The sequence below is a fragment of the Homo sapiens genome, chromosome 7 (assembly GCF_000001405.40).
Source record: "Homo sapiens chromosome 7, GRCh38.p14 Primary Assembly".
NCBI lineage: Eukaryota > Metazoa > Chordata > Mammalia > Primates > Hominidae > Homo > Homo sapiens.
Genome location: NC_000007.14, coordinates 122,468,039 through 122,480,925, shown reverse-complemented (window position 1 = coordinate 122,480,925; position 12,887 = coordinate 122,468,039). Strand labels below are relative to the sequence as shown.

Genomic DNA, 12,887 nt, shown 5'->3' with positions numbered 1-12,887 from the left:
TATAAGTATATAGTTCCCAACCCATTTAAATATGCTTTGTTTCTCATTTCTTTGCTGACCTGTAGCTGGTAAAGGTAAGTATTTTCATGATTTTTAAAATTAGATGTTTTAAAAAATTTTTAATGATACTATGTTTGAGGAATATCATGATCTTGTTTACAGGATCAATCCCCTACTTTCTAGCCAAACCCAGAATATTTAAGTTAGCTTTATTGATTACAAAACAAAAAATGTCTATCGCAACAAAAAAAGTAGAAACAACCTAATATCTACCATTCATACAGGCACAAGGGTAATAGCCACGAATGTGTTGTAATAACGTGCAAAACAAATGGTCAATATATGTTAAGTGGAAAAAATGCTAAGTTATACATGCGGTATTATTTTCACTACATAAAAAAACACCCAATTGATGAAGCAAAATATAGGTAGAATTACATCTAAAATATTCAGTGGATATGTTTTATCGGAGGCACTAGTTGCTACTTTATTTCTTCTATATCTTTTCTTTGAAGTATGTATTTTTATTTATTTTTCACAAACCCAGTGCTTTAGAATGAAGTATAAATCAGAAGCTTATTTTTTAAAAAACTAAGCATAACAATAACTAGGAAAAATAAAAAAAAAATTATAAAATCTAACTTACTGGAAGACAACCTTATCTTTTTGGGACATTACTAATATGTATTTATAGATTTCTCTAATAAGCAAATCTATTCCACTTCTTTTTTTCTTTGACTCTCTGGATATATAAAAATTCTAAGGGAAGAGAGTGAGCTGAAGGGGTGGGGAAGAGGCTGGTAACCAATTTTTTCACTTAAAATGTAACGTGCTAGAGTTGCCAGATTGATGGACATTCTTTGGTTAAACTGTACTTTGTTCTCTCCAACCAAAATGCAGTGCACACACCCTGGTTTTCACTGTCTCTCAGTTATATATGTAACATAATACAATGTGTGTGTCACATAATACAATATGAATAGTAGCATTTGTCTTCCAATAATAAATTAATATCAAAAATGAACCAGAAAAGCTGCCATCTGTTTATTTTTAAGCTAAGTATTTTTAAATTATTAAATTAAAATATAAACTAACATTTAATTTTGTGAACTTATTTTCATGATTGATCTAATATATTAAATTTCACACTTCATAGGGAAAGCATTTGTCTTTCTTTTACATTGAACATATTATTTCTAATAAATGTTCAATATTGGTTTACTTTGCTTATTTGTAATTCTAGGTTTCTGTGTTGATCAAAATTGTCATCATGCAAAAGTATTACTTACGTGTTATTGGCTGCAGAAAGCAAGATGTGTTAATTCATATATCAGGTTTTGAATCAATTTAACCAAAAGAAGCTAAGCAGTTATTTGGTCAATAATAAAGGTGTGAACAAACTCCTTTGCTTTTCAGCAGAAAGTATGTATACATAAAACATGGACATACTATTCAGGCTGATCTAGGTAAAATTTTAAAATATTAAACTCTTCCTATTAAAGCCTACATGGATGGTATAAAAAGAGAAGTGGCACCTACTTTGCTGTGCCACTTTTAACTTCCTATAAATTTTCAAGCTGTATGGGAGTTTTGAATTATAAGAAATGTATAATCAGATGTGAGTAGTGGTAAATGCAGCTACAGGTGAACTCCTAAACATAGGCCAGTTTTAAATGTAGGACAGTAAATTGTATTATATTTCAAAAGAGTCATTTGCTTCTTAGTTCAGCTCTGTTTTGCAGAGAGCAGTCTTGGCTGGCAGCACCCTTTTAGTCCTTTTGATACTAGAGTCCCACTCCCAGACACCAGAGTGACCTCAGAATGCTAAAAAATGGCCTCCTTTTTTCATCCAGAGTGCCCCTTTACCTTTTTCTTTCCCTTTTCCTTTTACATCCATGATTTCTCACAACACTAGGAGCAGCAACAAATGCAGTACCATAAGAATTTGTTGCAAAGAAAAAAGAAGTATTTTTAATATATATATTTTTATTATACTTTAAGTTCTAGGGTACATGTGCACATGCTGCTATAAAGACACATGCACACGTGTGTTTATTGTGGCACTATTCACAATAGCAAAAAAGAAGTATTTCAAATTTTTTTCAATCTCACATTCTCTCTGACTTAGATGCCTTTCCTAGGATTTGAATTCTTGGGCACTTAAGGGGCAGGTGGCGGTCAGTGCCTACCAAAAAGCCCCTCACTGATAGTCCTCACATCATTTTCTATGCCACCTATTTTCAAGTCTGTATTACCTATTTAAGTTGATACTGTCAGCCTACTTATCCTTTTCTCTTAACTTCCAACAGCTATTATCCTAATGAAAAAATTTAATTTTTAGGCTTGACTTACATAAAGCCTCTATAACTTCTTAAATCTATAGCTAATAATAATCTTTCTCAATTTGGGTTTCATTCCATCTACTGTTATCACACCTGGTGACAGTACCACCTAAAGACGCTCGAGCATACATCCAACTGTTGCCATAGAAACTCCACCAGTATCCTCAATTACCAATCCCACATCTGTAGTTAGTCCATAGGTTAATCATCACAATTTATGACAGTTTTGCAGTATACTGCTTAAGCTCATAGCTTGTTGGTTTGTTTTGATAGTTGTCATATTGTTTCAGAAGACAGATTGAACTAAAATTTTCCATTATCAGAGAAATCTGAGTAACACCATGAATAATTTTCTGTTTAAAACTAGTCACCATAATGTTGTGTTATAGTAACATTAATTGAAGATAATCCAGTATAACCCAATTTTAAAGCCTTGGATTTGGTAATTGACTAAAAAGCATGTTTTGCATTTGATATAGATGATGGCTGTGTCTCTCAAGAGTAACATATAGGTATGTTATACCTGTAGAAAGCTATGTGAAAATATATCTTTATAAAAATAAGAAACTAGATAATATCTTAATGATATCTGATTTTCTATTTCACATTAGTTCATGAGATAACTTTAAAGTGAAAGATGGCAGGGAGGAAATGGGGAGATGTGGGTCAAAGGATACAAACTAGCAGATGTGTAGGATGAACAAGTCTAGAGATCTAATGTACAACATGACAACTAGAATCCATACAATCGTACTGTTAGTGATTTTTGTTAAGTAGATTTTAGCTTCCCTGTCACAAAAAAAGTAGCTACGTGAGATGACAGATTTGCTAATTTGCATCTGTATTGTAACCATTTTACTGTCTATATGTATCCCTTAACATCATGTTGTAAAGCTTAAATATACATACACACAATTTTATTACTAAAAAAGCATTTCAGCCGTATTACATCTGTTTCTCTCCTCCTAGCTTTGATGCTATTGTTGCCTTACATTTCACTTTACAGTTTTTGGTTTTTTGTTTTTTGTTTTTTTTTTTTTGGTGGGGTCGGGGGTGGCGGGTGGGATGGGAATGGAGTCTCACTCTGTAGCCCAGGCTGGAGTGCAGTGGCGCAATCTCAGCTTACTGCAACCTTCGCCTCCTGGGTTCAAGCAGTTCTCCTGCCTCGGCCTCCCAAGTAGCTGGGATTACAGGCGCCTGCCACCATGTCCAGCTAATTTTTTGTGTTTTTTAGTAAGAGACGGGATTTCACCATGTTGGTCAGGCTGGTCTCGAACTCCTGGCCCCAGGTGATTCACCCACCTCGGCCTCCCAAAGTGCTGGGATTACAGGCATGAGCCATTGTGCCCGTCAGTTTTCAGTAATGTTATAAACACTTGTATACATTGCTATTATTTTGTTTAAAACAAGGGCCAGAGGGCCAGCAAACTGAAACTGAATGCCTGTTCTTGAAAATGAAGTTTTATTGAAACACAGCCTATCTACCTACCTCTCTCTCTCCCTCTCTCTCTCTCTCTCTCTCTCTCTCTCTTCTCTCTCTCCTCTCCTCTCCTCTCCTCTCCTCTCCTCTCCTCTCCTCTCCTCTCCCCTCCCCTCCCGCCCCCCTTCCCGCCACCCCATTTCATTCAGGGAGGTCAAGACTGTTACTTTTTTATTTATTTCTTCCATAAATTCATGGAAACTAAGACTATACTGCCACATGGTAATGTAGTTTTGCATGAAATGTTCTAAATGGTGCTGATCTGATGTAGAAAGAAAGTAAAAATGTTTGGTCTTCACAGCCTGTGTTTTAAAAATAGAATGATTTCTAAGAACACATTTCACTTTCATAAAATTACAATCCTGGAGAAATTGAAGGTTGTTGATTTTCTTAAATAAAAATTTTAATGGGTTTGTTTGCCTGTCTGTTTTTTCCGAGTAGAGTCTGTATTTGTGACTCAAAGTGCTATCATTAATATCATTTTTATCACCAATGGTAATTGTTTGTAAAGTAATTTTCCATTCATGTGTGTCATTTGGAAAGACTTGTTACCTTAGCAGATATATAGTTTGGAATTGTATTTCCTGAGAAAAGTACTTTATAAATTTACAAAAATATGATTTAATTATAGAAATGAACTATAGATCGTTTTTCAGAAACATTTTTTATTTAAAGTTTGTATGCCCATTTTTTAATTGCTTCTACAAATCTTTATAGTAAAAGAAAGATTTTTTTACTTTTTTCACAGGAAAAAGATAGGTCTTTTTCCTGTGAAATTTATCACTATCCTGTTCTCAACAGATTAACCATTAATGGGCATTATTTTTAACTCCTGTTGTAACCTTCTCTGGTGAAAGAAATAAGGTATAAAATTTAGCAGATGTTTTATAAAACTAGTAATTTAGTTTCATAAAAATGATACTAAAAGATTTTTTTGCTGAGATAAATGGAAAAATGAATATTCTAAGATACATCTTTTAAAATACAAAAGAATCTTCCAATTTTATAAAATGTGTGATTTGCAGTTTTAATATTCTGCCTCCTATTCATCTGATATTATTTCACATTACATTATCATATATTTAACTTTCTATTAAAAGACTCAGAAGAATAAAATGCAAAAGAAGTTCAATTGTATATTAGTTCAGGAAAAGCTGTTTTGTGTTCATCCAGTTAATTTATCACATGTAATGTATTTAATCATTCAGGTAATTATTAAATGTAAAGGTATAAGTATGATACTTTCTCCACGGATTATAACCTTATACCCTACACATCAATAAGCTGCCATTCATTGATTACTTGCTATATTCACCTTTTCCTATCTGTCATTGATGTGAGATGTACATTAGTTTGTGTATCATTTTTTAGTGTGATTCTGAAGACCCTTCAGCTTGAATTATGTAGTTCTTCCATCTACAAATATGGCTGAAAGTTGAACTTGACATGGATCAATAAGATCTGGGCTAAATATCTAAATGTGACTGATTATGTTAGCATCATGTCCACAGATCAATATTGAGTTTTATTATGAGTCTGACTCTATAATTGGGTTTAATCAATAAACTTTTGTCTCTTTTCCTTTATAATTTTAAGATTGTACTACATAGGTTTTACAAACTACACTTAGCTTACATTTAGGACTCTGCTTTTCTTATGATGACCAGAAAGAGATCTATCTGTGAATTTTAGGGAACAATGGAGTTTCAGTTTTACCATTGTGAGAAGAGTCCACTTTTATCTTGATAACTGATTGCTTGCTCAGTATGCGCTACGTTTCTAACAGAGCTAATGTAATAACACCCCAGCACTCCTTTGGGGTAGTGTGTGGCTTTTTCTCTCTATACTTAGTAAATAACTCACATTGAAGACTTTGACAAAACATACCATTAATGAAAGCAATCATAAAAGCTTGCCTTTTGATAAACCCGCAGGGTCTACAGGCGTTGAAAGATGCAATCTGTAAAGAACAATAAATTTGGGCCTTTGATTGAAGTGCCATTTGGGACGTTAAGCTTTGTCTGCATATTTGCGCAAACATGATGCTCCCTTTTTCCTGTCTCTTAAACTTGAAGCTTGAGAGCGCTCATTGCCATTTTTACATTAAGGATGGTCCCATTAAAAGCTCCATACAAAAAGAAGACTGGAAGTGATCCAGCTGAAGCATGTGTGTTCAATTCTGCCCTAGTTTGCCATTTGGAAAGCAGACTCCTAGGCATCATTGCTGTTTTTTATGAATAGATCTTCGTTCTTTTCTAGTCAATTCCATCAGTAAATGGAGATTTAAAATACAGCTTTTCTCAGAGTTGGAAAATAAGATTATTCTTCTGTTGGATATTAGAAATAGCTTTGAATGGAGATGGAATTACTGCATTCTGAATGATTTGTAGATTTTTTGCTGTTGTTTTTACTTAGGCTTCATAAAGTTTGCAATTTATGTTAATATGCTGAACTCTTGGCATCATATTTCATGTGATAAAAGGTAGTCTTCTGCTTGAGTCACGCATTTTGTATTCTTCACAACTTGTATGTCCATCATTAAGCCTGAAAAGTAAATATACTGTACATGCTTTCCTGAATTTACAGATGCAGATCGTTTTCAGAAACATGGTATGGATGAGTTTATTTCTGCAAACCCCTGCAAGCTTGATCATGCCTTCCTTTTTAGAATACTCCAGAGGCAGACTTTGGATCACAGACTGAATGATTCCTATTCTTGCTTGGTGAGTACAAGTCTATCTAGTCCCCTATAAGTTGGAATAAAAGATTTTAGATCCCCTATAAGTTGGAATAAAAGATTTTAGAAAGTGAGAAATACTTGTTATAAACCAGCATTTTATTCCTGACTCATTTAATAAGGGTAGTGGGAGTGAGGGATAAAGGATTCCAGTTGATTGCTTCCCAATTTGAAAATTATACACTTGAAGACCACTGCTGTGCCACTCAATAGACAGGAGAATAGACTCAAATAGATGCTAAACTGTGGTGTATCAGTCACTTTAAAGAACGCTCAGTGAAAATAGAAGGCTTTAAATAAAGATTTTTTAAAACCTCTGTTATAGGACGTACAGACATTTTAAGGTTGAAGTTCTGTTCCCCAGATGTTGACACCTCACATTTCTCTCTTTTGTTCTTAGAAGGACAACCTAAGTGGCAGGGGAAGGAAATAGTGGAATTAACAATATGACAGGAGCTATACATAACAAAGGAAAGTTTTGGTTTCATCTAGCCATCCAAAGTATAACTTGAATTCCTTGACAAAAGGAAAGGAGTGAATTAAATTGAGTAAACTGTTTCCTGGTATGTGTTGAAATTGTAGCCAACATTTGGGATATGAAGTATAATTTATTTAAAAGGAATGCTTGACACCTCAGAATATGGGGACTAAACTTTATAACCTAAAAATTATGTGTTTTTCCAAGCATTTACATTGTCAATAGCAATTCATCTGAAATTTTTGCAGCCAGAAAATGCCTATTTCTATCACTACTTTAATCTCTTGGACACTGAGCATAGTACAGGTTGACTATCCCTTATCCAAAATGCTTGGGACCAGAACTGTTTCAAATATTGAATTTTCTTCAGATTTTGGAATATTTGCATTATATGTACAAGGTGAGCATCCTTAATCCAAAAATCCAAAATCAATTTCCTTTGAGCTTTGTTAAAAGAAAAACCTTAGCCTAATTAAGTTTAACAGAGTTTAATTCATGAATTCTTGAATCAGGCAGCCTCCCAAGCCAGAGTAGGCTCGGAGACTCTGGCGCAGCCACGTGGTGGAAAAAGCTTTATAGACAGAAAAAGGAAAGTGACGTACAGAAAACAGAAGTAAGGTACAGAAACAGCCAGATTGATTACAGTTCAGCATTTGCCTTATTTGAACACAGTTTGAACAGTTGGCCACCTTTGATTGGCCAAAACTCAGTTATTGGCACAGTAGTAGACTACTGTGTATTTACAACTCCATTTAGTTTATAATTCACAATGTATAGAGAAACCTTTAGGCTGAACTTAAAATATGTAAGGAGGCAGCTTTAGGCTAAACTTGATTTAAAAGCATCATGCAGATGCTCAAATATTTTGGATTTTGGAGCTTCCCAGGTCTGGGACTTTTGGATTTGGGATGCTCAACCTGAAACTTCATGCAATAAAGTTACATTCTGTTTAAGATTTCAGACAAAATGCGCCCCCCCATTTTGTCTGAAATCAAAATGGGGATACTTCAGAGAGGAAGAAGTGAAACAATTTATTGCCACGCTGACACTAACAGTTCATTAATTCATTTATAGATTGTTTATTAAGTATAATTTAAACCTGATCCAACTCAAACTTTACAATCACATGGAGAGTAAAATATATCATCTCAAAATCCTATTCTATCTTTTCATGGACAAACACATAGAGTGAACATCAATAAGGGATAGTGTCCTCTCGGATTCCACTCAAAGACATTATTCAATTATCAAAAGCTGTTTTGATTTTGTTGTTGACCGCCAGTGTAATATGGAGTCTGAGGAGAATGCTACAAGGTCTTCCACTGCACCTAAAGGGGAGTGAGTGTGATTTGCCTAGAAAGTGTTTTGGAGGCAGATGACTGTGAATATAAATCATGGCTCAACAACTGATTTGCAGTGTAGTCTTGGACAATTCACTTAACATCCCTGAGCTTTAGCTTATTTATCTTCAACATGGAAAGCATATAAATACCACACCTGATGGTTCTTCTCTTACTCCTTTTCTTTTCTTCCTCCTTTCCTTTATTGCCTTCTCACCTTTTTCTCATTATTCTTTATTTCTCTTACATGATTACCCTGCCCCCTTTTAAAACTCTCTATACTCCCTTCTTTTCTTTTACTATCTTATAAATCCATATAATTCATCAAGATATTTTATAAGCCAGCTCCACCTAACCTGTCCTCCAGTTTTAGCCGCATCAACTGCCTGCTGTGTTCAGGTGGCATGCATGCACACACATACATTCTAACATCTTATTTCAGGAGGAACAGAAACTGCTAATATAAAGCATTAACTCTGTTATATTGTTCATAGGAAGACAAACAGAATGAGAAGAATATCCCAGATATTTAAGTTCCCAAATAGTACATGTATACTGCTGCTAAACTTAATGACATTTTCTTTTAGTTCACTTTATAAAACTTCTCCTGAGCAGGAAATTTCATCTATAATGTCGTCTTTTTTTAATTGATTCATAAAGAGACTGAGATTTTTGGAGTAACACTCTTTGTGTGTGATAATTTAGATCCTATGAATAAATTTGACTAATTTTGAATGACATTGGAGAGGCACAAGTTACCCATGCCTTGCTGTGACAGTAAAAAGAGAATAGCATTAGGTTGCCAGTGTCCCAAATCAGTTTCAAAATTGATGACATTAGCTCTTCATGAAACATACCACTAATAAAATAAATGTCAAGATACTTTCATGCAGCTTCTGCTTATAAGGCCTAAAAGTGCGTTCAGGAAAGCAAATCGTAGTATAGAAAGAAAAAACATGTATATCTATTCTTTTTTTATTTTGCAGGGATGGTTTAGCCCTGGCCAAGTCTTTGTGTTAGATGAGTACTGTGCCCGTTATGGTGTGAGAGGCTGTCACAGACATCTCTGCTACCTTGCAGAACTGATGGAACATTCAGAAAATGGTGCTGTCATTGACCCTACCCTGCTCCATTACAGCTTTGCATTCTGTGCCTCTCATGTGCACGGCAACAGGTATTTTTACTTGCAAATACAAAGTGAAATGTATGGGGTTGACTATGGAAAAGAGAGAAAAATGTGCTTTGCGATTATCACCCAGTAACAGATTGTAAATAGCAAACACTTCTTACAAGGAAAAAAAAAAAAACGACAGAGAAAAAAGTGTGCATCAATATGCTATTGATTTAGGTGGGCTACACTTTATGTTTCTTTTTGCTGGTAAAGCCACTCGAAAGAGAGAGAGAGAAAAAATATGAGATTAGAAACTGCCTTTTAGTTCTTACATACCACCTCGTAGTAAGTCTGAATAGCCTTAAGTATCCCTATGATTCCTATTGTAATGCATACCTGTGCCTGGGTAGGATGTGTTGATAGGTCTGTGTGTAACTAATGATCATTGCTTTTCCTCTGTGGAATTAATTTTCACTGATAAAACAAGATAGAAAATGGGTTTTATGTAGAGTCTCTTCTTAGCCACTTCCCTAATCCACACTTTAGGAACAAGTACTCTTGTTTTACCAAGATGCCATAAAAATTCCCTAATGTTGGCCTCCACAGTTGTCTATCTCTGGCCTTAAAAATCTGTCCATATCATGCCGCGTGTGGTGGCTTACACCTGTAATCTTAGCACTTTGAGAGGCCAAGGAGGGTGGATCACCTGAGGCCAGGAGTTTGAGACCAGCCTGGCCAACTGAGTGAAACCTCATCTCTATTAAAAAATATAAAAATTAGCTGGGCGTGGTGGTGCATGTCTGTAATCCCAGCTACTCAGGAGGCTGAGGTAAAAGAATCGCTTGAACCCGGGAGGCAGAGGTTGCAGTGAGCCAAGATCATGCCACTGCACTCCAGCCTAGGTAACAGAACAGGCTCTGTCTTAAAAAATAAAAATAAAAATAAAAAATAAATAAAAATCTGTCCATATCACTCCCCTTCTCTTAATCTTGCTCAATACATATTTGATGAATGAATGAATGACTTCATTATTTGTGTTAATGTCTCCTCCATTAATGGCCCGTTAACTTTTTATTCATCTTTTTCTTTTCCCTCCTATCCCCAATTTGTGAATATTAATATTCTCTTCCCATAGTGCCCCTTAACATTCTCTTTTTTACATTTCCATTGTTTATCCTAATTCTGGCCTTCATTTTTTTCTGGCCTATGTATGTGAATTTACCTCTCTACTACCTTTTTCTTTCTATAGTATTCTACCAATCAGTCAAAAAAATTGTAGAATAACTTTTACCACACTCTTCTTCAAAAAGCTTAAGTGATTTTTGATTATTAAATTAAAAATAGGTTCCAAGTGATAGCATCAACATTTTCCCATTACCATCCTCTTCCATCTGCCCATTCTTGTCTCCACAAAATTTTACCGCAAAAAATCTGTTTATTCTCCATGTTTTTCTTTTTTCCAGTTTTAAAAAGTCAAATATCACAAAACTCATCTTAGAAGACTTCAATTAACTCATTCAGACACTAAGAACTTTTTGTCTGTACTTATCTCATTACCTTTGTCATATATACTTATGTGCTAGATGTGTGTACGTGCACACACACACACACACAGACACACACCTGCTTCTGTTCCACTAGATCATATTTTAAAGGCAAAAATCAGTTCTCATTCACCTATTATCCTCCACGTACCTAAAACAGTGTGTTACATTTTGTAGGTACACAATAAATATCTGTTGAAGTCCCCAGTGCTGCCATTTCTCAGCCTACAATAAAATAAGATTGATCCTTGTCTCACAGTCTATTCAGGTTTTCACTTTATTTTGGAGCCCAGCCTTGATTTGAAATTAGGAGGATGTTGCTGATTTTAGTAGTTTTTTCCCCACTATCTCACACTCAACCCTCTGCACTTAGAAAATGGGGGGGTACAGGGGTCAGTCAGGGTGGCTAACTGTTGATAGGAGCTGTTTTACTAAAACTGTCTCGTCTCCTGACTCTGTCTCAATTCCTTCTGACTAGGGGATATCAAAAAATAGACATTCCAGCACTAGGCAGACCTCTAAAATGCAAGAGGATGAGAAGGTTTCAGTGAAACAAACAAACCCAAAGCAAACTGTATAATCAGAATATTTTATTCATCCACACAGAAAGGTAAAATTAAATTGGGAACCTAAGGTGGAAAATTCAGCTAATGTGCCCCCAAAATATATGTGTTTGAGACTCATTATAATGGAAAGTTACTGAGGCAACAAGGAGCTACTGCTGCTGCCTGGGAGGCAGCCTGATTTGACTCTACTGGTTGCCATAGTTACTTTTATTCTGTAAAACTATTGTTTTCTTTATAACGATACTCTGTAATGTGTAATTCAAGGTATGTTTATATGTTCATGCATATATTATCTTTAATATTGCATGTGAAATCCACTTTCCCAAAGTTTAAACTGTGTACACATTCAGGTATCTCTGGTAGTCTTTTAGAATCGAAATTTGAATCAGTCTCTGATTCAGCATTGAGGTGTCATATAGCTTAAGAAAAAGAAAGGAAGAAATATAGGGTTGAGGGAAATTTGAGCCTCAATTTAGGATAGAAATAATCCAAGATAAGCTGAAAGTTATGACGTTTCCTGTGACGTTTACAGTCCAGCAGATGTCATTCAGAAATACTATGCTGCCACAGTGAAAGACCAGAAAGAGGCAAAAGATCTTCACTTGAATCCCGGCTCTGAAATTTGCAAACTGACCCATGTTCAACAAATCACTTAACCTTTCTGAAACTCAGAGTTGTCATACATAAAAGGGGCAAATACTAATGTGAAGGTACTACATCATTATAAAATACTATCAGTATTGATTACTCTTACTATTCTAATATATTTTTCTTTGCCATTTAACCCAAGAGGATGTAAATTGTGAGATGAAGAAAAAAGTAAAAAGTATGTAGTTAGGACTGTACCTCATGCTAAATAGAAATATTTCAATGTGTATGTAATTATATTCCTAATTTCTTTGTTAATGGAATATTCAGGTTTTGGCAACCTCTCCTTGTGAGAATGTGCTTCTCTTATCCATGTCTGTAGCATCTGATATTTATAGAGACTTTTGTTTAAACATACTGTCAATGTCAAGTCTGGTTTTTCTACATTGTTTGCCGTGGTCTTATTTTATGATCATTTTTACATCTGTCAAGACACATATTCAAAGAGTCGTTTTGCTCATTACCTGAACTACCTCTGTCATAAATTCAAAAGGAGAAAAGATTTCCTTTTGTTATTGACTGAAGTGAAGGACAACAGTGCTGTCTGGATTTGAAATTTTTCAGGGAGCACATCCTATTGCACAGTGTTGAGCTCTCTAGGTGTGTTCTTTCTGTACAGATACATCTCTGAATAGCACTCT

The 12,887-nt window shown here is 35.0% G+C and overlaps 1 protein-coding gene across 29 annotated transcripts in view; it reads left to right on the top strand.

Annotated features, from left to right (window-relative positions):
- Positions 1-12,887, top strand: part of CADPS2 (calcium dependent secretion activator 2) — a 568,050-nt gene that overhangs the window by 405,535 nt on the left and 149,628 nt on the right. For 18 of the 29 annotated variants that reach the window (NM_001363397.2, XM_005250707.6, XM_005250701.6 and 15 more), the window contains 3 exons: positions 66-74; positions 6,409-6,545; positions 9,364-9,551. In NM_001363397.2, coding sequence (NP_001350326.1) covers positions 66-74; positions 6,409-6,545; positions 9,364-9,551 — 334 coding nt within the window. The remainder of the gene's footprint in view (positions 1-65; positions 75-6,408; positions 6,546-9,363; positions 9,552-12,887) is intronic. The other 11 variants (NM_001363398.2, NM_001009571.4, XM_047421032.1 and 8 more) reach the window with 1 other exon arrangement.